The 26,190-nt window shown below is 50.6% G+C and overlaps 1 protein-coding gene and 1 long non-coding RNA gene across 5 annotated transcripts in view, besides 4 other annotated features; one reads left to right on the top strand and one right to left on the bottom strand.

The window, feature by feature from the left end:
- FCN2 (ficolin 2) lies at positions 655-24,034 on the bottom strand. Of its 4 annotated transcripts, none has more exons than XM_011518392.4 (8): positions 23,515-24,034; positions 5,539-5,652; positions 4,823-4,876; positions 3,406-3,438; positions 2,812-2,939; positions 2,281-2,410; positions 1,614-1,748; positions 655-1,010 (listed from the first exon to the last, which is right to left on the bottom strand). In XM_011518392.4, the coding sequence occupies exons 1-8, from the start codon at positions 23,579-23,581 to the stop codon at positions 763-765; spliced, it is 909 nt and encodes a 302-aa protein (XP_011516694.1). In that variant the 5' UTR covers positions 23,582-24,034; the 3' UTR covers positions 655-762. The 4 variants fall into 4 exon arrangements, with proteins under 4 accessions (XP_011516694.1, NP_004099.2, XP_006717078.1 ...); NM_004108.3 differs by lacking the exon at positions 23,515-24,034 and adding an exon at positions 7,257-7,368; XM_006717015.5 differs by lacking the exon at positions 5,539-5,652 and having other exon boundaries at positions 23,515-24,033.
- Positions 15,209-15,409: a silencer, noted in NCBI's record as "peak7344 fragment used in MPRA reporter construct". NCBI's record gives its function as "represses an SCP1 promoter by STARR-seq MPRAs in K562 erythroleukemia cells {active_cell/tissue: K562}" and the evidence as "EXISTENCE:reporter gene assay evidence [ECO:0000049][PMID:32103011]".
- Positions 15,517-15,690: a silencer, noted in NCBI's record as "fragment chr9:137764334-137764507 (GRCh37/hg19 assembly coordinates)". NCBI's record gives its function as "represses an EF-1alpha promoter that drives an FKBP-Casp9 reporter gene in an ReSE screen in HepG2 liver carcinoma cells {active_cell/tissue: HepG2}" and the evidence as "EXISTENCE:reporter gene assay evidence [ECO:0000049][PMID:32094911]".
- Positions 15,560-26,190, top strand: part of LOC101448202 (uncharacterized) — a 53,204-nt gene continuing 42,573 nt past the window's right edge. The window contains exon 1 of the long non-coding RNA NR_103451.2: positions 15,560-15,629. This is a non-coding gene — a long non-coding RNA (uncharacterized LOC101448202). The remainder of the gene's footprint in view (positions 15,630-26,190) is intronic.
- Positions 22,745-23,472: an enhancer, noted in NCBI's record as "H3K4me1 hESC enhancer chr9:137756552-137757279 (GRCh37/hg19 assembly coordinates)". NCBI's record gives its function as "activates a minimal SCP1, AML or CMV promoter by ChIP-STARR-seq in primed H9 embryonic stem cells {active_cell/tissue: H9 hESC(primed)}" and the evidence as "EXISTENCE:reporter gene assay evidence [ECO:0000049][PMID:30033119]".
- Positions 23,473-24,201: an enhancer, noted in NCBI's record as "H3K4me1 hESC enhancer chr9:137755823-137756551 (GRCh37/hg19 assembly coordinates)". NCBI's record gives its function as "activates a minimal SCP1, AML or CMV promoter by ChIP-STARR-seq in primed H9 embryonic stem cells {active_cell/tissue: H9 hESC(primed)}" and the evidence as "EXISTENCE:reporter gene assay evidence [ECO:0000049][PMID:30033119]".

The raw sequence follows: 26,190 nt of genomic DNA, 5'->3' as shown, positions 1-26,190 counted from the left end.
AGAAGCGGGTGGAAGGGGCTTTGGCTTTCTGATTCAATCTGCACTGGGCTAGGCTGCAGGGCAGCTTTGGGATGGACACTCATGGCCAAGAGGAGTGTTCTTCCCTCCTCAGGAGTGCTCGGGTCCCTCACACCTGCCTCATGTAACCACTCTCTCCGTTTTGATGAGGGAGTCACAGGCACACTGCCACTCTTGCTTCGGCTTGTGAGGAAGTAGCGAGCAGATCCCACGAATACCCAGGACAGCAGGCGGCAGGAAGCCTGGGTGACGGGGGAGAGTGAGCAGAGCTGCGGCTACGAGGCTGGGGGCCTTGGACAGGCAACGGCATCTCTGAGTGCAAGAGAAACTTCCTCTCCAATGTGCCTTCTGACTTCCCTGCCATCCAGCTCACAGAGAAGCCCAGATGGTCGAGCCCCAGGAAGGCGTTTAGCCTGCCCAGGGACCTGAGCAGGGCTGCACTCTGAGCCCATCGCAGCTTCAAAGTCTTGTATTTGTCCTTAAGGAAGGTTCCTGCTGGCATGGTCAGGAACACATTCTTACTCATTGTCAAGGAAAGACAGAGGTTTGAGGTGAGTTAATGTCACAAATCTGAAAGGGTTGATTGCGGAAACAGAGCTGGATTTGAACCTCTTCCGCACAGCAAGACAAACCCAATTTAGAATCACGACATGTGTTTCTTTTACAAACCGTAGGGCCAAGCTCCCAACCCTACCCCCCAACCAACTATGTGTGGAGGCGTCCTGACCCTGAGGCCGGCCTGGGCTAGGCAGGTCGCACCTTCATCTCTGACACCTTGTAGCTATAATTGTATCCTTTCCCCGACTTCCAGTTGATGCCATTTGCAAAGCTGCCATGAGTCCCCCTGAGGTAGCGACCATTCAGGTTTGACACATGGCAGTTTTTGTACCACCAAGCTCCCTGAAACATCACAGCACAATTTCCGGTGTTAAGATCATTGTCCTGGTCTTTGGTGGAGAAGGACTGGTTGTTGTGGAACGTCAGGGAATCTCCTGTGCAGGAGGAAATGTGAGCATCGTTACAGGCAGTAACATCATTACAGACAGTATAAGTCTTTATACCTGAGGCCTGGCCTGGTGTGTCCTCCATGTATGGTTAGGCAGGTTGTGCACTGCACAATCCAAGAAGTGCAATCCATGACTCCAGTGAATACTGCCCTGCTGTTGGCAGTGGTCTTGGCAAATTGTCTTTAGGTCTAGCCCTGCCACCTAATGTGTACTATGTTTATTTCACAGAAGAACAGGAGGCAGGGGTCAGGATCATCATTCTCTACTCTGGATTCCATCATGGCAGACCCCTTCCAGCCATGCCCCGCAGAGATATCAGCTGCTGTCACCGTGCATAGGTCCCTGCTCTGCAGAGACTTCCTTCCTACCAGATGCCCTTGCTGGGATTTCTGCAGTCATACACTGATGTGTCCCATGACCCCCATGCTACACAGAGCACAGATGTTAGTGTCTGCATGTAGAGATGGACGAATTGGCTCAGAGAGGTGAGGCCTCTTCCACAAGGCTACCAGGACACTGAGCACGCTCTCTCCACTTCCCAAACCCCCCTCAGAAGCCCAGGCCACACAGCCCCAAGCAGACACTCACCCGCACTGCCCTCCACGAAGGCCCCCAGGACCAGATTGTACTTCTCCGCCTCGTCGGCCACCTTGAATGATCTGTACTTAGCAAACTGGTAGTTGTCCTCAAAGTCCACCAGGTCTACACGGAGCTCGCTGGTTCCTGTTAGAGAAAGGTTTCAGGGTCTCAGCGGAAGGGCTCTCTACCTTTAGACATGGGAGCTGGGGATCTGGGGCAGGGCCTGGAAGGAGGTCTGGACTCCATGGAGGCAGAGGGCGGAGAGCACCGCAGCATCCCCGGGGCCTGTGTAGCTCTGACCCGGCAGGGTGTGCTGAGCAGCAGGGCAAGACTCTTGACTCCCAAATCCTAGCGGATTAGAGGCAGAGTTGGGGTTGGGCCCAAACTCCACTATGGGGCCACTGTGTCCCTCCTTCCCCTCTCAGGACCTGAGATGCCAGTGGGGCCAAGACCTGAAGAGGCCTTCATCCCAGAGCTCTGACCCTCTCCCGTCCCGATGCTGCCAGAGCCTGCAGCAGGGACGAAGCCCTCGGAGGTCCCAGTGCCACCCTGAGTGTGCTCAGGGCCCAATCCCCTGTGGGCCAAGAGGCTCTTGTGTTCCAGGCAGCCCAGGCCCAAGAGGCAGGGGCACCCCCATTCAGGGCCCCCGACCCCCAAGCCCCAGCAGCGGCCCTACCCTGGGCGGTCAGGGCGTGGATGTTGTCATTCCCCAGCCAGAACTCCCCCAGCCGACTGCCGAAGCCCTGCTTGTACGTGGCCCAGTCCCGGTAGAAGTCCACAGAGCCATCCACCCTCCGCTGGAAAACCTGTGGAGAAGCCAGGGGACAGGAGCCGGGGGGGCCAGGCCGACGTCCCACAGCACGGGGGACCCGCCCTCCAGAGGAGCAGCATTTGTAGTTGGCAGAGCATCACAGGCGGGGTCACCAGCACGCCCACCTGTTCTCCTCACAGACTCCACAGGATGAAGGAGGAAATGGGGGCTCAGAGAGGGGAGGCAACAAGCCCCAAGCCACACAGCAGGAGAGCACCCAACCTCTCCCAGCCTCCCCCAAAGGCCTGGACTTTTACCCACCGGTCATCTCCCCCATCATCTCTGACTGTCCCCGACCAGGAGAATAGAGAATTCCAGAGTGTGTTCTCCCACCAGGTGTGCAGCCTGGCCTCCGGGACTCCCAGGCTGACCGCCTCTGCCCAGCCCCACACTCACGGTCCAGCCCCCTCCGTCCGTGTCCATGTCACAGAGCACAGTCAGGGGCCGGCAGTCGGGCAGGTAGATGGTGTGCCAGCCGCTCAGGAAGTGCCCTCGGTCTAGCAGGTCCTTGCAGGTACGCGGGCCTGGGAAGGGAACCCGGGGAATGGCTGCAGGACAGGAGCCCTGGGCAGGGCACAGGCAGTAGGAGGGAGGCCTGGGAGGAAGAAGCAGGGCCATAGGCGTCTGTATGAACAGAGCGGGACTCTGAGGCCTGGACAGGGACACGGCCCCCAGGGCCACGCAGCTGTGATGGCCGCAGCCAGTTGGCCTGGCCCTCCCACCTCCCAGTGTCACCCCCACCTTCAGCTCCTGGGCACCCGGCCTTCTGGCGTAGATTATAAATAGAAAAAAATTGCCATGGAGTGTATGTAAGTTGTCTGGACAATATTTGTCACTTCCTTGAATAATTAGGGGACAAGGAAACGGGCAAGCAACCATTTTCTTCTGTTCATATTTGTCACTTCATTCTGGCAATGGCGTCGTATGACCCTGGACTTCCAGCCAAGGGCAGCCACAAGCCGTGGGAGGAGTGTGGGGGTGGTCAGTCACCTGTCAGGCACGGCTGGGGCTCCCCAGGTGCTCCTGTTCATGGATGAGAGAGGACACACGTGTCACAGTTTGGAAATCAGAGCCCTTCAGCCCCCATTGGTCCGCGGACACCATTTTCTGGGCCTCCCCAGGAGGTGATGGTATGGGTCCAGCCAAGGAGTCCCTGACCCTGGTTCTGTTGACCAAATTTTTCTTTCCCTCGAGGGATGCCTACACTGGCCCCTCCACCACATGCACCCCTTTCAGAGGTTCCTGGGGAAGCAGAGGCCACCATCCCAGAGACTGCTGAGGCCTCCACATGCCAACTAAAGGAAGCCTGGATCTTCAGGCTTCTCCTGAGGCCCCAAGGCCTGCAAACAGCCCATCTTGGTGGACACAGTAATATGATGTGGGGAGTGTTGTTTGCGGTGTGGGCACCAAACCTGCGTATTTTATGTTTAGACACAACCCATGACTGAGCCTGGGGTTTGGTGAGTGTAGGGTGGTCTTATTCTGAGTAGGTCTGTGGGTAAAGGTGAGTGAGTAAAGGGAGCTTCAATTTCCTACTGCGTATTTCTCCGATTCCTCAAAATTTATTCCTCAAGAAAATATATCAGAAAATTCTTTGTTTTAAAGCAGAGAATTTCCACTAATTCTGTGTTTGGAACTTGTTGGCATGGTTCTCCAAGCCATCCGGGGCTGATCCTGGTTTTCAAGCAGAGTCAGGAGGAGGGGACAAGACAGGGCCTCATGCTCAGGGGACAGAGGCCAGGACTGAGTGAGGCTTAGAGAGGTGGGCAGACAATCCCCCCCCACCCTCTCAAGACCACTTCCACATTAGAGGGACAGGATTTGGTCTCAGGCCCACCCACAGGGCAGATGCTCCTGCACTGAAAACCTTCCCCTACCTGAGAACCCCCCCATACAGACAGCCCCCCCACTAAGAACCCCTCCCCACACTAAAAGTCCCTCCCCGAATAATCAGAACCTCTCCCCCATCCCAGAATCTCTCCCCCATATTGACAGCTCCTCCCTCCCTGCTGATAACACCTCCCCACAGCCTGCCCACCGGGAACCCCTCCCCCAACACACACCCCAAGAACCTCTCCCTACACCACCAAGAACCCCTCCTCCGACATTGAGAACCCTGCCCCCACACTGATGACCCCACTCCCCCAAACTGAGACCCCCTACACACATTGAGACCAGCTCCCACACTGATAACCCCACTCCCCCAGACTGAGAACCCACACACACATTGAGACCCCTTCCCCCACACTGAGACCCCTGCCCTGGACTAAGCCCCAAGAGCCCTGCCTGGGCAGGCGTTGGCTCTGGCGAGGACAGCGTGGCAGCCCCAGAAGACCCGCCTCACGTTCCTCTGCAGCCAGGTCTGGAAGGGCCTTGAAGCCGCTTCTCACTCTTGTCCCCTCCTTACCGTTGGGCCCAGGTGGTCCTGCCTTCCCAGGAGGTCCAGGGGGGCCACGTTCTCCTGCAATTTCCAAAGACACTGACTTGAGGAAAACTGCCCAGCCCAGGATCAAAGGGCCCACCCTGGAGCTGGCGGCTGTCATTTCCAATCATGACCATGACCCTGCTCGTGCTACGACGTGACTGTGGCCCCGCCCAGGCTTGCCCATCCTGCACCAGAAGGTTCTAGATCCAGGACCCAGGCCTCACGGGGCTCTCCTGTTCACTCAGGGGCCGGGAGCTGGAAATCCAGAGACCATGGGTAGAATCTCGGCTCTTTTCCTTCCAAGTGTGAGAACAGAGCGAAATCCCTGGACTCTCTGAGCCTCAGTTTCCTCATCTGAGACAGGTGGAGAAGAGTGTCATGGCCTCCGTGTTGAGGTGGGAAGGTGGAGGGACACAGAGCTTGAAGTCGTGCCAGCGGCCGAGCAAAGCTGGTATTGGATCAAGGACTAGGAGACAGAGCTACAGAAGCATGTCCAAATGTGAGCTCATGAAATAGCTAAGAAAGACGCTCCCTCCATGTCAGAACCCTGTTGGGCCCTGGGAGTCAGTTCTTTTCCTGGCTCTTGCAGGGGCCTGACCCAGCTCTCGATCTAGGAACCATGGTGGGGGTGTTGCCCAACTCAGCATCTGGTTTCAAAAAGAGCAAGAGCCAGTGCCCCCAGCCATGCCTGCACCTACCTCTCTTTCCATTGGTGCCTGCCTCTCCCTTGGGCCCAGGGGCCCCAGGCAGCCCCGGACAGCCTCGGAGAATGGTGAGCTTGTCAGAGCCCTCCAGGCCCACCATCTTCACCTCTGCAGAAAAACACAGGTGGCCACTCAGTGTCACCTGGGCCTGAAGACTCCACTGAGCCATAGATATACCACTCAACTGAAAGGCATCTGCCATCTTGGTGACATCAGGACTGGGCAGATGGCTATAGCCACAGCCACCTCCCTCAGCTGGAGGGTCACCTGGAAGGGAGGTTTTCCTGCCCTGGTGGGCACTTGGTCTGTCCTCACCTCTTGGGCACTGGTCAGGCAGAAAGGTGATTTGGGGCAGAACCCTGGCCTTGGAGGCTACCCTGCCTGAAGGCAAACCTTACTTCCTCAGTACTGTGTGTCCTGAAACAAGTCCCTTAACCCCTCTGAGCCTCTGTTCCCTTACCTACCGAGGGGTGCAGGTTCATTTCAGCTCCTACCATTTAAGACAGCATCCTAATCTCGTCTGTTCTCATCTATCATATCATTGTAATCAATATCGGGTGAGAAGGACACAGGGAGAGAGGCTACCATTGCAACTCCCACGCCTGATCTTGGAGCAGATCTGAGAGTGGATGGGCTCCTGTGGGTCCACCTTGTTCCTCCACAGAGGGAGGCGTCCTTCAAGGACACTGAACAAGTTGGTGCGAAACTAGAGCTGGAATGCAGCTTGTTGTTTTTAATTAGATAACTCAAATTCAAGTGAGTGTGTTACAAAAATAACACGTGCTATTATTTGATCATTTAGAAACTCTAGAAGTATTTAAGGAAGAAAATAATGCCACCCTAACCCCACCACTCCACAACGAGCCACTAGGAGTTTCCAAGCGAATCCCCGCTGTTCCTGGCCTGTGTCACACTTCACGCCACGGATTGCTCCTTGAATGCGATGCTAGTCACAGCACACCGCAGAGCTCTGTGTCTCACATGCATTCCAGAAATCCTGACACGAATCTCTGCAAGCATCAGGAGCATCACAAATTCCTGACCCTGCATCCCAGCCCCGGGTAGACGGAGTCAGGACCTGACTCCAGAACCTGCATTTTCAACCTGCCCTCGCATGCGCCGGAGCCCATGGTTTGGCACCCGAGTGTCCCCTCGGGAGCCCCGAAGGAGGTCCAGAACTCACGGGGACAATGCCACCCTTATTGTGCCGCATCAGGGACACCATGGGAACTGCCATCTCCAGAGCCCAGCAGGTCCTGGATGGAAAGGTCCTGCAGTGCTCATCCCCGCCTGACACCCTGTCTTTCCGGGTGCTTATCCCCACCTCACACCCTGTCTCTCTGTGATGGCGACCATGGCAGAATATCTGACTGGTGTCTACCCAGCTGGCACCACAAGCCTCACCTCCCCACACAACACCATGACTACGCTTTTTACGCTTAGAGGGGGACATGTGGCCCAGGGAGACTGGAAACCTGCCTCGGTTTCCATTATGGGAGGGCAAGCAGAGGAAGCTCCGTCTCTGAGATGCCACATCCATTCGGGGCCTCTGCGTTTGTTCACATAAGATGAGGCATGCAGAGCTGCTGTCTCGTTAGACGATGCTCCACACGGCCTGGTGCAAGGCCTGGAAGCCAGGAAGCCACCAATCACGAAGCTGCCAGCTTTCAGGGACGAGAAGTTTCCAGGAGGAGGCCCTGGAGTGCCCTTACCTGGACAGGTGTCTGCCGCCTGGAGAGCCCAGGCCATGCCCAGGAAAGAGAGCAGCAGGGTGGCAGCGCCCAGGACCCCCACAGCTCTGTCCAGCTCCATCTCTTCTGGTCTTTGCTTCAAAAGGTGCCTGCCCTCTTATAGGGCTAGAGAAGCCAGCCTCCCTCAGACTCCAATTTCTCATCTTCCGAGTGACAGCCGCTTCCTCTCCGCGGGCTTGGTGACGCCAGCAGGAGGTGCGAGATCATCTCCAGGGCTGCTCCCTACCCCCCGCCCCTTGGGGATCCCATGGCGACTGTCATCCCTGCAGGGGGACGGTCTCCTTCCAGGGAACAGGCTGACTTGCTTGTGGCCTTGGGCAAAGAGCCCAGGCCCATCCTCCCACCTTTGTTCAGCGGTGAGCAGATGTCACCATGAGCTGAGAACGGGGAACAAGGAAGGGTTTGCTAAAGATGTTCTGCTTCAAAGAGGTCTCTCTCCCTTATCCGAATACCTAGAGTCCTCATGGCCAGGGCTGGTCATGGGCCACTGGTGTGGGCCTTACACAGTAACCCTCACCACATCATGAGCAGACTTGGGACTCTCCTCAGGAGGCTTGGAAACTGCCACTATGAGGTCCAGGCAGGCTGCCAGGGTGAAAAGGAGAGGAAAATGCGTGTGTGTCCACTGTTTCCTGGGGCAGTATGTAGAGCACAGGGGCACATGAACAGGAGGGAAAGGAGAGAAGAGTGGGGAGCCTGGGGGACTATGACCCAGGTACACATCTGAAGGGGAGACCTTGAGTGTGAATGCAGGGGCTTAGCCTGTAGGGAGGATGAGAGTAGGTGAATTTCACTCCTAGGGCCCAGGGAACCCCCTGAGCCCTGAGGCCAGACATCCCACCTGTAGGATGGCTGTGGACTTACTTCAGTGGTTGTGTTCGCCTTTTGGAGAAGAGCTGGCCTGAAGGTGCACTCTCGCCTTGGACTGAGCCAGGTTAGAGACAGAGACAGTAGCAGGTGGGGCCCCAGAGGCCGTATACCTAAAGCCCCCAGAGACGGAACCAGCACTGCACCTCCCACTACCACCACCGCACCCTGCCACCTGCTGCCATCGGGATGCCGAGGTGCCTTCTTCCTTGGCAAGATCAGTAGAAGGATTTTAAACTGTGACCCCAGCCCAGCAAAGCCACGCGAGAAACAAAATCCCATCGGATTTTCCTTCAATGCCCATGGAGATGTGTGGTCCTGAGACTATGACTAGTTAAGACCCCCCTCGGGTTCCGTGGTGTTTAGGGCAGACCTCTCAAGACTTAATTAAGGCTATGCCAGATGCAGATGAGGTCCAGGGATGAACCTGGGGAAGACACAGGCTCCATGGAGATGCAGATATGGAACCTAGAAAGATGGCTTGGGGGCATCTTCCTCAAAGTCCTGAAGTCACCTGCAGAGGAGCCAGGTCCCCAGAGCTGCCCAGTGAAACCCCAGCAGCCAAAATTCCGAGTCCTTAGGCAGGTTCCTTTACTGCATGCTATTTGTCCTTCCTAATAGAAGCATCTTTCAAACCTAGATGACTTAAAATTAAGTCTAGAAGGCTTTAAAAGCCCAAAGACATTATATTAATATTTTAGTGTTCAGAAATCTAAAAAAATATGCTATTTAAAGTACTTGCAATAATCAAGAGAATCTGGCCTATTGGAGTGGGTGCAGGATAACTTCAACAGAAAATGGCCAATTGAGTAATTGATTTGGCAGAGTGCATTTATGCGGAAAACTTACCGAATTCATATAAACTATTGAATCACTTTATTGGAACTCTGAGTTTATCACATGCTGAATTTAAATGATTACATTTCTAGCAGTTCATATTCAGAAGGATTTTTTAAAGTTAGACAAGGTACTAAAGGATAAATGTGGTTCTATTAAATGTATAAATGCAGTAACAATGTTTGAAGGTGTTTAGTTGGCTAAGTTAAGGAATGGACCAAGAATTATTCACAGGCTCCTTATAGGTGGTTATTAAAAGATAGAATAATAAGGTTTATAAGTCACACTTTTAAAATGAAGGCAGAATGCAGCTTTTAAAGTACACTTTTTTTTTTGAGACGGAGTTTCGCTCTTGTTGCCCGGGCTGGAGTGTAATGGCACAATCTTGGCTCACCACAACCTCCGCCTCCTGGGTTCAAGCGATTCTCCTGCCTCAGCCTCCCGAGTAGCTGGAATTACAGGCAGGCACTACCATGTCCGGCTACTTTTTGTATTTTTAGTAGAGATGGGGTTTCCCCATGTTGGTCAGGCTGGTCTCGAACTCCCGACCTCAGGTGATCCACCCACCTTGGCCTCCCTAAGTGTTGGGATTACAGGTGTGAGCCACCGCGCCAGGCCCTAAAGTAAGATTTTTAATAAATGGACATAATTAAATTTGAATTCGTTTTAGAAAGCAAAGGAAGACCTGAAAAGTCTTTGGTGAACTCAAAATTGCCCACAGATGATAACACACAAAAACCAAAGCCCTCACAGGCACCAGTGTAAATGTTGGTCAGGGGTGCTTCCAGGGGTCACGTCACTTGTTACGGGCAAGGAGGCTGAGGCTCAGAGAAGGGCAGAAGTTCCCGCAAGGCACATGGCCAGTTCATGGCTGAGCTGGCTTCCAGCCCTAGTTCCTCGGGTCCCAACTAGGGCCTTTTCTACCCCCCTGTATTAATCAGGGACAGAACTAATAGGATAGGCATATATAAAGGGGAGTTTATTAAGTATTAACTTACAGGATCACAATAGGCTGTGTGCAAGCTGAGGAGCAAGGAGACCCAATCTGAGTCTCAAAACTGAAGAACTCGGAGTCTGATGTTCGAGGGCAGGAAGGATCCAGCACAGGAGAAAGATGTAGGCTGGGAGGCTAGGCCCATCTCGCTTTTTCACATTTTTCTGCCTGCTTTTTATTCACTGACAGCTGATGAGATGGTGCCCACCAGACTGAGGGTGGGTCTGCCTTCCCCAGCCCACTGACTCAAATGTTCATCTCCTTTGGCAGCATCCTCTCAGAAACACCCAGGATCAATACTTAGCATCCTTCAATCCAATCAAGTTGACACTCAGTATTAACCATCACATCCCCCTTCCAGAAGTTTCCCTCCCACACAAGCTACCTCTGTGCCTCAGCCCAGGTCTCCACCCTCAGGGTGCCGGCTGTTCTAGGACAGGTGATGCTGTACACAGGAGACAGACCAGGCAGGCATGGATCCCATCTGTGAGGTCTCTAACATGACCACCATCTCACAAAGGCCAGGAGGAGAGAAATGGAGAACACGGCCATGAGACTCTTGTAGCAGACAGCAGTGGCTTCATGTTGCCGGAAGGTAAACTGTGATCATGGAAGAGATTTACTACAAATTCTAACGTGGCCACTAAAATAACAACCTTCTACAGATTCAAGCCATACAAAGTATGTTCTCGGACAACAATGGAATTAATTAGAAATCAAGAAAAGAAAGGTGTCTAGAAAATCCTCCCAAATATTTGGATACTAAATAACATTCTTCTAAATAAGATATAGGAAATAGAAGAGGCCAAAGGAGAAATTAGAAAGAATTTTGAATTGAATGAAAACAAAAAGGCAGTAAAATACAGTTTGCATGGTGTTCCTAAAGCACTCCTTGGGAGGCAAATTACAGTGTGAAATGTTCACTAAAAAGGAAGAAAGGTCTCAGGTCAACAGCCTCTGCTTCCGTCTCAAGAAACTAGAAAAACAAGAGTAAATTAAATCCAAAGTAGAAAAAAGAGAATGAATAATAATGAACAAGTGCAGAAAATCAATACAACCTGAAGCTGATTCTTTGAGAAGGTAAATCAAATTTATAAACCTCTAGTCAGACTGAAGAAAAGAGAAAAAAGAGGGAGAATGCAAAATATCACTATTAGGAAGAGATCAATGACCTCACTACATATTCTACAGATATTATGAGGAATATAAGGAGATATTAAGACACTTTAGCACCAACATATTCAACAGTGGAAATGAAATGGACAATTTCTTTGAACCACCAAAGTCACTCAAGAAATACCTAAGTCAAACAACTGGCGTGGTGGCTTACGCCTGTAATCCCAGCACTTTGGGAGGTCGAGGTGGGTAGATCACCTGAAGTCAGTTCGAGACCAGCCTGGCCAACGTGGCAAAACCCCTTCTCTACTAAAAATACAAAAATTAGCTGGTGTGGTGGTAGGCACCTGTAATCTCAGCTTCTCGGGAGGCTGAGGCAGGAGAATTGCTTGAACCCAGGAGGCAGAGGTTGCAGTGAGCCAAGATCGTGCCATTGCACTCCAGCCTGGGTGACAAGAGGGAAACTCCACCTCAAAACAAAACAAAACAAAACTATACATATAAAATAAATTGAAATTGTAGTTAAGCCTTTATTTTTATTATAAAGAAGTTTATCAGGATAATGTGGTACTGATGTGAAGGTAGACATATAGACCAATGGAACAGACAAGAGAGCCCATGAAGAAATAGAGAGTCTACAGAATAGAGAGCCCAGCAAAAAAATCTCCAGGCCCAGACAGCGTCACTGATGAAATCTACCAAACATTTAAGGAAGAAATAATAGCAATTCTTCCCACATTCCTTCTGAAAATCAGAAAGTTACAACTACTTTATCATTCATTCTATGAGGCCAGCATTTCCCCAATAGCAAAAGTAGATAAAAATCATTGCAAGAAAAAAATAACTATAGACTGATAGCCCTCATGAACATAGATACCACAATTTTAAGCAAAATTTTAGCAAACTGAACCTGTCTATGAAAATAATGTATCATGAGCAAGTGAGGTTTAGCCCAGGAATAGAATGTTTGTTTACCTCTTAAAAATCAATGTAATTCTCTAGCTTACCAAATTAAAAATGATATACTATCATCTCAAAAGAAACAGAAAAAGATTTGAACATTTTCATCCATTCCAGATGAAAAAGGCTCTCCAAAAATGAAGAATAAAAAGTATTCCTTTTCTATCATTGTGTAACAAATTACCACATCTTAGCAGCTTAAAATAGCACCTGTTTATTATCTTATAGTTTTTGTGGGTCAGGAGTCCATGCACAGTTTATTGGGGTTCTCTGCTAAGGTCTCAAAAGCAACAATTGAGGTATCAGACAGGGCTATAGTCTCATCCGTGGTTCAACTGGGGAGTGGTCTGTTTTTAAGCTGGTTCAGTTTAGGGGCAGACTGCAAACCCTTGTCATTGTATTAATAGGAATTGAGGGATACATTTTCTTGCTGGTTTTTGGTTGGAAGATGCCCTTTATTCCTAAAGACTACCCACAATTCCTGTCCCATGGGGTTCCCCAAATGGCCACTTCCTTCTTCAAAACCAACAAGGGAGTGAGAGAATGCAACAAGACCAGCAAGATGGGAGCTACCATTTTATGCAATAGTCACGTGCACATAATCACATACACAGCTTCCTCTTTGCTGTACTCTTGGTTAGAAGCAAATCATAGATTCTCTCTACACTCAAGGGGGGTGGGGACCAGTGGGGACCAGACATGGCTGTGAGCAGTGAGGTGCAAGGATCCTGGGGAACACCCTGGGGCCTGTCTACCACGGAAGGAAGCTTGCTCAAGGGCATCCACAAAAAACCCACAGTTCACATCACGTTGAATGGTACAAGACTGAATGAATGCAATTAGAACAACCAAGAGCAAGAGAAGGTGTCCACTCCCACCATTTCTACTCAGCAAGGTACTAGAGGTCCTAGTCAGTGTCACTGGCAAGAAAAAGAAGTCATGCATATTAGGAAAGGAAGAAGTAAACTGTCTTTTTTTATTTAACACATGACATGATTCTGTAGAAAATCTGATCAAATCTGAAAAATCTGCTAGAACTACAAAGTGAGTTTAGCAAGGTTGTAGTATATAACTTCAATATATAAAATCCGTTGTTTTTTTCAAATCACCAATGAATAATTAGAAATAAATTAAAACACCATTTACCATAGCATTGAAAATATAAAATACTTATGGATAAATCCAATCAAATATGTTTAAGACCTATTCAGAAAACTACAAGATATTGTTGGACAAAATTAAAGATCTAAGTAAATGAGAGATTATACCTAGTTCATGGATAGGAATATTCAATAATGTTAAGCTGCCTATTCTCCCCAAATTGATCTGCAGATGCAACACAGGCCAAACAAAAATCCCAGCAGCTTTTTAATGCAAATTGAAGTTGATTCTAAAATTTATATGGAAAAACACAGGATGTAGAATACCAAAACATCTTTTAAAAAAAACAAATTTGGGAGGTCAATACTATCTAATTTCAAGAATTATTATAAAGCATCACTATCAAGAAAATGGTTGTTTGGATGTAAAAGCAGACAAATAGAACAATGACACAGAATAGAGATTTTAGAAATAGACCTACGTGGATGTGGAAATTGATATTTGATAAAAGCACAAAGGAAATGTAGTGGAGAAAAGCTAGACTTTTCATTAAGTGGTGCTGGACTAATTGAATATGTAACAAAAAGAACATTGGTCCCTACCTCACACTATATAGAAAAATGAATTTGAAATAGATCATAGCTCTCAGTGGGAAATAGAAAAGTATAAAACTTCCAGAAGAAAACATTGGAATTAGGCAATGATTTCTTGGATAGGATACTAAAAGCATAATCTCCAAAAGCAAAATATTGATTAACGGATTGTATCAAAATTAAAATATTCTGTTGTTTGGGCTGGGCACAGTGGCTCCTAACTGTACTCCCAGGACTTTGGGAGGCCAAGCTGGGCAAATCACTTGAGGCCAAGAGTTTGAGACCAGCCTGGCCAACACGGTGAAACCCTGTCTCTATTTAAAATACAAAAAATTAGCCGCGTGTGGTGGCACACACCTGTAACTACTGCCAACTACTTAGGAAGCTGAGGCATGAGCATCACTTGAACCCGGGAGGTGGAGGTTGCAGTGAGCTAAGATTGGGCCACAGCACTCCACCCTGGGTGACAGAGCAAGATCCTATATCAAAAAACAAAAAACAAAAACAAAAAAAAACAAAAAACAAAACAAACAAACAAACAAAAAAAAAGTTCTGCCATTTAAAAGACTGTGTTAAGGGAATAAAAAGAAAGCCACAGTTCAAATGAAAATCCCAGCAGCTCTGTTTTATTACAAATTGAAGCTGATTTGTACCCAGGGCTGCTGGGATTTTCATTTAGACTGCATTGCATCTGCAGATCAATGTCAGGAGAATAGGCAGCTTAACATCGTCGACTCTTCCTAGCCACAGACTCAGAGAATATATTTGCAAATCATATGTTGTAGGCTGAAGAATGGCCCCCAAGGCCATCAACCGTACATGGCAAAATGCAAATGAGATGAAGGGTCGTGACACGGGGAGATGATCCTGGCCTCTCTGAGTGGGCCTGGTGTAATCCCAAGGGTCCTTCTAAATGGGGAGCAGTAGAGTTAGGGTCAGGGAGGAAAAGGAGGCAATGAGGACAGAAGCCAAGATTGGAGACATACTCTTTGCAGATGAAGGGAGGGGCCATGAGTTGTTACGCAGCAGCCTCTAAAAGCTGGAAAAGACAACGAAGCAGATTCTCCCCAGAAGCCTCCAGAAGGAACCCAGCCCTATCAACAACTTGATTTTAGGCTTCTGACTTCCACAACTGTAAAATAATAATTTTGTGTGATTGTAAGCCTCTAAGTTTGTGGTAATTATCTTACAGCAGCAATAGGCTCTCATGCATCACATACATTTGATAAAGGGGTGGTACTCGGAACACAGAGATAACTCTTCAAACTCAGTAAAAAAAAAAACTAACCCTCCAATTAAAAAAAAACAGGCACACAATGTGAAAGGATGCTTCACTGAAGAAGATGTGCGGATATAGCAAATAAGCCCATGAAAAGATGCTCAACGTCATCAGTCATAAGGAAAACGGGAACAAAACGTGATGAGACGTCACCACACCCCTGTGAAATTGGTTCAACCTAAGAGGACTGACGGTACCCAGTGCTGACAAGGATGTGGAGGACCCGCTTCTCTTGCACTGCTGGATTAAGCGGTGCAGCCTTTTTGGAAAACTGCTTTGCAATTTGGAAAAAGTTAAAAACATACCCACTGATATGGTTTGGCTGTGTCCCCACCCAAATCTCACATTGTAGCTCCCATAATTCCCATGTGTCATGGGAGGGACCCGGTAGGAGGTAACTGAATCACGAGGGCGGGTCTTCTCGTGCTGTTCTCGTGATGGTGAACAAGTCTCACGAGATCTGATGGTTTTATAAAGGGGAGTTCCCCCGCACCACGCTCTCTCTTGTCTGCTGCCCGGCGAGACGTGACTTTGTTCCTCCTTTGCCTTCTGCGATGATGGTGAGGCCTCCCCAGCCACGTGGAACTGTGAGTCCATTAAACCTCTTTCCTTTATAAATTACCCAATCTTTACGAGCAGTGTGAGAACGGGCTAATACACCTATCGTACAATCCAGCCATTTCCAAGCCTGGATATTAACCCGAGAGAAATGAAACCATATATCTACACAAAGACCTGTGCACAGAGATTCATAGCAGCCTGGTTTGTCATGGCCCCACCTGGAAGCAACCTAAATGTCCATCAACACCTGAATGGATACATAGCTGTGGTCTATCCACACACAGAGTATGACTCTGCTGATCGGATACACAGCTGTGGTCCATCCATCCACGGGGTACGACTCCGCTGAATGGATACACAGCTGTGGTCCATCCACACACGGGGTACGACTCCGCTGAATGGATACACAGCTGTGGTCCATCCACACACGGAGTATGACTACAGTGAAAGGAAACAAACTGCTGTGCACAGTACAACATCATGACCCTTAAAATAGGTCTGCCGGGGGGAGGAAGACAGGCAGCAGAGAGTGGATAGGATGTGATTTCACTCGTAAAAAATCTTAGGAAAATAAGCTATAGTGACAGAGAAAAGCACAGATGTTGCCTGGGGACACGATAAGTGGGGCCGGGTGGGGGTGGGTGGGATTGCAACGAGGAAGCTTCTGGGGGTGACAGATCTGTTCCTTGTCTCAATTGTGGTGCTGGTTTCACGGGTGCATCCTCTGTCAAACTACTCAAGTTGTGCACTTCAAAGCCATGTAGCTTATTCAATGTCAAGTACACCCCTCTAGGCTCTTAGAAAAGAAAATCCTGTGGGACCCAGAGCATAAGCTTTCCGATGGCTCTTTCCTCTCGGGTAAGGGGCAGCCAGGACTCCTGCCCATCCCAGTCCACCTCCCCACAGACCCACATCCTCCCTCTCAGCACCGGGTCCTAGAAGGAGCTCGGCAGGGGCCGGGCAGGGAGCCCAGTGCCCACTCTACACAGCTCCCTGGTCCCGAAGGGTCTGGGGCCCCAGAGCCAGAGAGGGGTGAAGAACAGAGGACTAGGTGTGGGCTCAGCGTGCGGTCACAGGGGAGTGAGCACGCAGCGGCGGCACAGCCCAGCCCCGCTCCTCTCCACTTCCTGCCCTTTTCCTGGTCAGGATGATGATATGACCTGACAGGTGGGACCCGCGAGATGCCAGGCATGAGCCCCCCATCCAACTGTCGAGAAGGAGGACACAGGGACAGCCCAAACAGTGGCCCCCAGACCAGGATGCAGTCACAGATCCCAGAAACCACAGGCCCCGAAAACCACACTCAGTGGCCAAGCCGCGGGAATCCATGGCAGAGACAATTCATTCCACCAGTCCTCAGCGCCGATCCTGGAATATTGCCCTGCCTGATTGGGATCACACGTTGAGTAAATTGTAGAAGAGTGGTAACAGTAATAAAACCCAGGCCTGCCCACTCAGGGGCTTTCGTAGCGCTCAATCAACCAATCAATCAATAAGTACAAGGCATATTAGAAAACAAAAGACACTTTGGGCAAGGAAACCAAAACCTGAGGGGCTGTACCATGTCGGCCGTGCTGGCAACGAGGTCGCCTGACTCTGGGGTCAGAGGGCAGCGCCTCTGGGTGGAGAATGGAGAGAGGGCACCGCCGAGCCCAGTGCTGGTGTTGGGGGAGACCTGTGCAGTGAGGATTCTGACCCGCTTAAGGGAGGAGGCTCTGAGTGCACAAGCTGCCTTCTGCCAGCTTCCCTCCCACCTCCCTCCCACCCCACCTTCGTCCTAAAACCTCTCCCTCTTCTGGGGCTCAGTGTCATCTCCCCTCCCCTGGGAGCATCTGACGACTCAGAGTCTGGGGGCTTATACTGTGCTCTCCGTGTCCCCCTTCCTTCATCACAGTGGAGTGGCTGTGCGGTCAGTGGTGGGCTGGCTGTCCCCCCGCAGGGCCGGGCTCTGTGCTCAGGGCAGGGTCTCCTTTGCTCACCGTGGCTGCTTGGGGCTCAGTACAGGAGGCACCCAGGGCACCCCCCGAGGGCACTTATTGCTGCCACTCAGGCACGGCCTCCCTCCACTGAGGTAACATGGGCTTGGCCCCCCGAGGGGCACAGCTGAACTCAGAGGCCAGGTGGTGAAGGTGCAGGGAGTGGCAGGCGTCACCCTGGGGGTGAAGGCTGGGGCTGGGAACTTCTGGGCACCCCCTGGCCCTTGCCATGCCCAGGTCTACACTCGGCCCTCCCAGTGAGCCCACGGACCTCTGCACCCACACTAGGCCGGGTGGGCCAGGCTCCAGGCAGCGGAGTCGGAACCGTGGGGCTGCGAGACCTGCTGCCTCGGGGGGCAATGGCCTGGGGGCTGCTGTCTCCCACATGAAGCTGCAGCCAGCAGAACTCGGGGAAACCGGCATCCAGTGTCCCACAGAGGGGGGTTTGCCAGGTGCCACCAGCCACCTCCACATTAACTCCTTCAGGCCAGGCTGCCCCTTGGGCAGAGGAACCCTGCCTAGCCCAGGGGCTGTCCACGGAGTCTGAGAGTGGACAGGAGGACCACCAGAGTCGGATCCGATTCATCCTCTCAGGCCTGGGGCAAACCCACCCCATGTGAATGAAGCCCCCTAACAACAGGAATTTGTGGGCCCCCCCCTCCTGCAGCCATCTGTCCCCCTTATGCTGGCTATGGGTGCTTGCAGACAGTGGGAGCTCGGGAACAGTGCAGCGCCCACCTGAGGGGCCTGTTCTGTGATCACGTAGCCCTCACCTGCATCAGGAGCACCTGAGGGCAGGAGCCAAGGCTCCTCCATGCTCCCCACACCCTCTCCTGTGAGCCTCAGCCCCTCGGAGGCCTCTGCTAGAGGCTTATGGGTCCCTGCAGGTCACAGGTTGAGAAGAGTCATCTGTGAAGCAGCCGCACTGGGCCTGCCAGCATTTCCACCTGGAGAGTTGAGTCGAGCAGAGAAAAGGCAGAAGGAAGCCTCGGAGAGACTAACAGAAGCAAAAGCAAAGCCAGAGGCCTAGGGAGGGCCCTGATTTCCAGAGGCGGGGAAGGGAGCCTGCGGGGGTCTGAGCCCTCTCCGGGAGAGAGACCGAGGCTGGGGAGAACCCTCCACCCTCTGCGGGGTCTGGGCTCAGGGCAGCTGGTCCCAGGAGAGGGCCTACTTGGCTGATCAGAAGGAAAACAGGTGTTGTCAGGCCTTATGCAACCCACGGTTTTGTGGGCTCAGCTTTCTGGCTAATTCCAAGAGGAAGCGCTTGAGGGAGGAGGACCTTTCCCTCTCCCATGGGCCCAGATCCTTCTCACCCACTCGCCCCCTTCAAATCTTTGCTTTGTTCTTGATGAGGGATTCACGTGCACACAGTCACCTTTGGTACAACGTGTGAGGCTCTCATGCATGAGTCCCAAGGGACCCTAGGAGGCAGGTGGCAGGAAGCCCCGGCACGGGGGCCGAGTGGGCAGAGCAGGGGCCAGGCGGCCGGGGTCAGGTGGCTCTGAGTGCAGAGGTCGGCGAACACTCTCTGTAAAGGACTGATTAATACACAATTTAGGAGTTGCGAGTCATACGGTCTCCGTCCCAACTACTCTATTCTGCCTGGCACTTGGAAGCTTCCGGGGATGATAGAAACCAACCAGAGACAATATGGAAGCCATGGGCATGGCTGTGCCGATAAAACTTTATTCACAAACAGGCACGGTGGCCCTGCTTTGTCTTAGCCAGTGGGGAACTCCCTCAGCCCTAGGGCATCTGATCCACCCATAGGGCCAAATCACAGGGAAGCAAGGACGGATGAGCAGCACAGTGGTGTGGTCACTGGTCAGGGCAGGGCAAACGGCCATGGCATCCCACCATTGTCTGTGAGGCAAGCAAGCACTGATGGCTGCGGTGAGGGAGGCACGCTGGGGCTTCGCCTAGCCTTGCAGATGGGAGGCAGGGGGCTGGATGCTGGCACTGGGTGCAAAGCTCTGCGGGCCATGCCTATAAGGGACTGGTGGGAGCTCCCTCTTCCCATGAGGATGGGGGCCATGATCCCCACATTGCCCTCTTGGTGAGGGCTGAGGGATGCGCTCCTCCAGCCAGGGTGTGTGGAGAGAACCTCTGACCTCAGCGCCGGGCTAGGTGGGCCGCACCTTCATCTCCGACACCTTGTAGCTGTAGTTGTTCCCTTTCCCCGACTTCCAGTTGATGCCGTTTGTAAAGCTGTCACGGGCCCCCCCGAGGTAGACACCATTCAGGTGTGACAGGTGACAGCTGGCATACCACCAGGCTCCCTGATAGTGCACGGCACAGTTTTCAGCATCTCGGTCGTTGTCTTGGTCTTCGGTGGAGAAGGGGTAGTTGTTGTGGTGTGTCAGAATCACCTGCTCAGAGGGAAAAATAGGGCATTCTCCATGAAGTTCCAGGGAGCCTGGATCTGCTCCGCTGGGTCCTTGGTCTGTCCTCACCCCTCGGGCACTGGTGAGGCGGAGAGGTGATGAGGGGCAGAGACCTGGCGTTGGAGGCCACCCCGATCTAGGGGAGGCCCATGTCCTCAGTGCTGTGTGTCCTGTGGCAGATCACTTAACTCCTCTGAGCTTTGTGCTCTGGGCTGCCAAGTGGGGATAGTAACAAGGTTGTGGCCAGGGTTGGATTAGAGAATGTGCATTTTAAATCTCTTATTGTAATTTATGGCATTTAGAAAGAGCTTAATAAACAGTGGGCACTTTCAATAACTAATGACCACCAATATTTCTAAGAAACTTGGGGAATTGGGGCTGACAAAGCATTTTCCCTCCCAGACCTTGGGAATGTGGTTGTAGAATTACGGGGCTGGAAGGGGCTTTCTAGGTCCTCTGGAGAGGGGCAGTGTGGGGTCCAAGGACACAGAGCCAGGTGTGGCACAGCTGCAGCCAAACCAAGGTTGTTTACTTCTTTTTTTTTTTTTTTTAAAGTATCCCCAATTTTTTTTTTATTATAGTTTAAGTTTTAGGGTACATGGGTACAATGTGCAGGTTAGTTACATATGTATACATGTGCCATGCTGGTGTGCTGCACCCACTAACTCGTCATCTAGCATTAGGTATATCTCCCAATGCTATCCCTCCCCCCTCCCCCCACCCCACCACAGTCCCCAGAATGTGATGTTCCCCTTCCTGTGTCCATGTGATCTCATTGTTCAATTCCCACCTATGAGTGAGAATATGCGGTGTTTGGTTTTTTGTTCTTGTGATAGTTTACTGAGAATGATGATTTCCAATTTCATCCATGTCCCTACAAAGGTTGTGAACTCATCATTTTTTATGGCTGCATAGTATTCCATGGTGTATATGTGCCACATTTTCTTAATCCAGTCTATCATTGTTGGACATTTGGGTTGGTTCCAAGTCTTTGCTATTGTGAATAATGCCGCAATAAACATACGTGTGCATGTGTCTTTATAGCAGCATGATTTATAGTCCTTTGGGTATATACCCAGTAATGGGATGGCTGGGTCAAATGGTATTTCTAGTTCTAGATCCCTGAGGAATCACCACACTGACTTCCACAATGGTTGAACTAGTTTACAGTCCCACCAACAGTGTAAAAGTGTTCCTATTTCTCCACATCCTCTCCAGCACCTGTTGTTTCCTGACTTTTTAATGATTGCCATTCTAACTGGTGTGAGATGGTATCTCATTGTGGTTTTGATTTGCATTTCTCTGATGGCCAGTCATGATGAGCATTTTTTCATGTGTTTTTTGGCTGCATAAATGTCTTCTTTTGAGAAGTGTCTGTTCATGTCCTTTGCCCACTTTTTGATGGGGTTGTTTGTTTTTTTCTTGTAAATTTGTTTGAGTTCATTGTAGATTCTGGATATTAGCCCTTTGTCAGATGAGTAGGTTGCAAAAATTTTCTCCCATTTTGTAGGTTGCCTGTTCACTCTGATGGTAGTTTCTTTTGCTGTGCAGAAGCTCTTTAGTTTAATTAGATCCCATTTGTCAATTTTGGCTTTTGTTGCCATTGTTTTTGGTGTTTTGGACATGAAGTCCTTGCCCATGCCTATGTCCTGAATGGTAATGCCTAGGTTTTCTTCTAGGGTTTTTATGGTTTTAGGTCTAACATTTAAGTCTTTAATCCATCTTGAATTGATTTTTGTATAAGGTGTAAGGAAGGGTTCCAGTTTCAGCTTTCTACATATGGCTAGCCAGTTTTCCCAGCACCATTTATTAAATAGGGAATCCTTTCCCCATTGCTTGTTTTTCTCAGGTTTGTCAAAGATCAGATAGTTGTAGATATGCGGCGTTATTTCTGAGGGCTCTGTTCTGTTCCATTGATCTATATCTCTGTTTTGGTACCAGTACCATGCTGTTTTGGTTACTGTAGCCTTGTAGTATAGTTTGAAGTCAGGTAGTGTGATGCCTCCAGCTTTGTTCTTTTGGCTTAGGATTGCCTTGGCGATGTGGGCTCTTTTTTGGTTCCATATGAACTTTAAAGTAGTTTTTTCCAATTCTGTGAAGAAAGTCATTGGTAGCTTTATGGGGATGGCATTGAATCTGTAAATTACCTTGGGCAGTATGGCCATTTTCACAATATTGATTCTTCCTACCCATGAGCATGGAATGTTCTTCCATTTGTTTGTATCCTCTTTTATTTCCTTGAGCAGTGGTTTGTAGTTCTCCTCGAAGAGGTCCTTCACATCCCTTGTAAGTTGGATTCCTAGGTATTTTATTCTCTTTGAAGCAATTGTGAATGGGAGTTCACTCATGATTTGGCTCTCTGTTTGTCTGTTGTTGGTGTATAAGAATGCTTGTGATTTTTGCACATTGATTTTGTATCCTGAGACTTTGCTGAAGTTGCTTTGAAAAAATATTTTTCATTTTGTTGATTATGAAATCAATATGCCCTGCTAAGGGTGCTCTAAGAGACCATGGACCAGAGCGGTGCTCTCACCAGAGACATGGCAGCTGCCACTGCTTGGTGGATTTTTTTTTTATCTGTCCTCACCCCTGGCTCACTGGTCAGAACAAGTGTAGACCACTTTTTTTATTTGCTTAATTTTTCTCATTAAACAATGAATACTTAATAATGTAGGATAATCTAGAAAATAAGACATGTTTGGGGGAAAAAGTTAACTCACCCATAACATAACCAGTGAAAGGGCCTCTGTAGTGTGTGTTTTCTTCCTAGCCCCACTCGGGGCCTTTCTCCATGGGACCCACCATTACCCTGGCCCCTGGTCCACCACGAGCAGGCTCAGACCATGGCGCCTACTAGGGTTTTTGGAAGCCATCCCTGGTTCTGAGTTCAGAGCAACGTACTCCAGCATGGCTGCAATGCAGGGGGGCCAGAGCCTCCCCCAGAAGGTGGAGCTGCTGGGAATCACCTGAGTGCCCCCAGAAGCCCAGGGAAGATCTGGAGCCTAGGTGCCACATCGACCTCACTGGGCTACATCAGGGACACAGTGGGGACCACCTGTCCCAGTGCCAGGCACATCCCAGGCCAAATTCCCTGCAGAGCTGGGACTTGACTTTGCTGGCCACGTCCAGCTGGGTGGTCTTCCAGTGACATTGATCGTGGCACAGGCTCTGACTAGGCCCACTGCCCGCCAGCGCCCTGTACGCCCACTGCCTCCTCACACAGCTGGTGGGACTCTCACGACGGCCCTTCTGCGGAGGAGGATTCGGCCCCGGGGAGACGGCCCTGCTGCATGCTCTGAATTTGGGACCTGGCCCGTTTGGCCCCAGGGCCCTGTTCCTAACCCCCGTGTTAGGCTGCATCTGTTTCTTTGAGCCTCTGTCTGGTCTTTAAAGGGTGAGGCTTAAAACAATCTGTTGAGAAAATGAGGCAGGAACCTTCACAAAGGGCATAGTACCGGGCCTGGCGTGCTGTGAGTGGTCAGCAGGTGGCCGCTGTCAGCTTCCCGGAGTGTGATCGCTCTAAGGTTCTACCCACCGGGGGGCTGACTCACCTGGACAGGTGTCTTCAGTCAAGGCCATGGTCCACAGGAAGGAGAGGGCCAGGAGAGCAGGTCCCATGGCTACGGCAGCTCGGCTCAGCCCTGGGGCTCTGGTCTTTGCCACTGAAGGAACTCCGTGGTTCTTACAGGGCTGCAGCCACCCACTGTAACCTCTCTCTCCATTTCCCAACCCCAGTGGGGATGGCCACTCCCTCCCGAAGGCTTGGTGGCACCAACTGGCGGTGGAGACAGCCTCAGGGCCGCTGTCTTCCGCAGGCCCCACAGGCTTCCCACTTAACGAGCCTGGCTTCCCCTGGCAGGGACGCTCTGCCCAGCAGAAGGCTCCCTGAGGCCCGTGTGGGAAGGGCCTGCCTGTTTGTGTCTTTAGGGAAAGCTTGGCGGGAACACTGCCTGAGGCCCGCAGCAGGACAGAAGGGCTTGTGGAATCCAGCCCTTGAGGAAATCTCTTGCAGAGAATCTGCCGTGAGTCCACAGAAGTTTAGGAACGTCCACTGCGGTCTGAGTGGTTCCCAGGGGAGGGAGAGGGAAGCAGGATGATTACCAGGAACCTCCCTGGGCCAGCATGCAGGGAGTTGGTTGCAACCCTAGAGGACATTGGCTGGCGAAAAGTGGTGTGAGCGGACCAGGAGCCTTGCCAAGGGGTGGCACGCTGGCACTGGATCAGGCTCCCGTCCAAGCCGGTGCTGCAAAGACGCAGGACTGTGAATGGGACGGCAGCAGCTTCAGGTGGGGGCGGGGGAAGGGGTGGGGATGGGTGGCATGAAATTGCCCGCGGGGGGCCATTGGACACCTGCCCCCTGAACAGGGGAACTGGTGGATTGGCCCCAGCTTCAAAGCCTTTTAGAGAAAAGCAAATCCTGAAGCAAATGCTGGCCTCGGGTTCGGTCCCATTAGGGAGAGGTGGCAGGCTGTGGCCCCAGTTGCACCACCAATGGCCCCTGCGCAGGTGTCAAAAGGGTTAGATTCATGACCCCAAGTGGAAAAAGCCCTGTGAGGCTCATCCATGGCAGACCAGCTCCACGTCCCTGGCGTCATACAGGCCTGAAAACACAAAGCCATTTAAAGACCTCGACTTTGACCGTGCCAGACCCAGTGTGAGCAGAACGTGGCTGGGAAGGGCGGGCTCCCAGGGATGTGTGGAAACGGAACCCAGAGATGTGGCCTCCCTCCTGGCACCTTCTCTTCTCACCAAAGTGCCACGGGCAAGACTCACACAGCTGGTAGCTAAAAGCCCACGGCAGGCTGCCCAGACTCCCGGGCCCTTAGTCACCTGGGCTCCCTGAGTGGAGACGGCCTCCTGAGTAGGTGTGTGTTTCTTCTAAAGTCTAGACAGAATCAAGAAATTGAACCTCACAGTATGAATATTTTAGCGTAAAGCAATCTATGTCAATTTGGTATTTTGAGTATTGGAGAATTTGGCCTATGTCAGTGACACCCTGATAATCCAATTGAAAATGTGAAATCGAGGAATTGAATGAGTTAGTGATTTTATGTGGAAAACTGTAGTGTGTGTGTAGTTTTGGAACATTTAAGAGACCTCCCCCCACAGTCATATGTTTAAATTATTAGATTTTGAAAAATTAGTTTATACTCAGAAGGTTTTGCTAAAGGTGGAATGCTGAAGTACTAAAACATAAATTTAAACATATTAATTTTGGAAGTGCAATTAAAATGTTTAAAGCTATTAAATAAACTAAGTCTGTGATGGACCAAGAATTATCCACAGGCCTCATAAAGGAAGTTATTAACATTTGCCTGTAACGGGTAGAACACGGTTTATCAGCCAAATTTAAAGTCTCAAGAAGCACTGGACTTTCGAAATTGTGATTTTAATACAATGAAAAAATTACATTTGAATCGATCTTTTTTAAAAAACGAAGTAATTCACAGAGTGATCTCTGTGCGAGAAATAAAAGTAAGCAATAAAATACCGTGGAGGGAACCACCCACATCACCGGGACCAGGCACAGGTCGGCTGCGGGACCTCTGAGGGCTTTTTTGCTAAGGATGAGAAAACGGGGTCCACAGAGCTCTCTATGGGTCTACAGATGCTCCTGCCCCACCCCCAGCCTCCCTATGGATGCTCTATAGTAGCATTCCCTGCGCCAGCACACAGGGATTTGGCTTCCAACTATTGTGGTCTCATAAGTACAAGAGAAAAAGGGCTTGTGTTTAATAAACACCTACTATGTGCCAGGTACTGTTTTATGCCCTGTGGTGCAGTAGGGAACAGAAAGACTGGTCCTTGTGCTCTAGAAACCTGTTCTATTGAGGGCAAACAGAAAATAAACAACTAGACAAACAAATGAATGCATAATTATAATATCAGATCATATATCTCAAGAAAGCAATGTGGGCTGCAAAGTAAATACGAGTAGAGAGTATTATTAAGGAAAAGCAAACTGAAACAGCTATCTCAGTGGCTACACACACACGCACACACACACATGCGCACACACACGGACATGCACATGTAGGCACACACACACATACACACACACATGCACGCAGACATGCACACACACACGGACATGCACATGCATGCACACATACACGCGCACACACACACATGCACGCACACACACACACGTTTATTTGTTGCTGTCATAAAAGTACAGGGTAAGTGCCCCTGGCCAGACACCTCTCCTTCCACAGTGATTCCAGGTC

The sequence above is a fragment of the Homo sapiens genome, chromosome 9 (genome assembly GCF_000001405.40).
Source record: "Homo sapiens chromosome 9, GRCh38.p14 Primary Assembly".
Classification (NCBI taxonomy): Eukaryota; Metazoa; Chordata; class Mammalia; order Primates; family Hominidae; genus Homo; species Homo sapiens.
This window is presented reverse-complemented; position numbering and strand designations above follow the sequence as displayed.

Excerpts from the sequence above, each read along its gene's own strand:
- FCN2 (NM_004108.3), bottom strand. The coding sequence starts at position 7,356 with ATGGAGCTGGACAGAGCTGTGGGGGTCCTGGGCGCTGCCACCCTGCTG. Across the intron at positions 2,411-2,811 it reads CGGACGGAGGGGGCTGGACC|GTTTTCCAGCGGAGGGTGGA; the intron begins GTGAGTGTGGGG and ends GCTTCTCCACAG. Across the intron at positions 1,011-1,613 it reads CTTCGTGGAGGGCAGTGCGG|GAGATTCCCTGACGTTCCAC; the intron begins GTGAGTGTCTGC and ends CCTCCTGCACAG.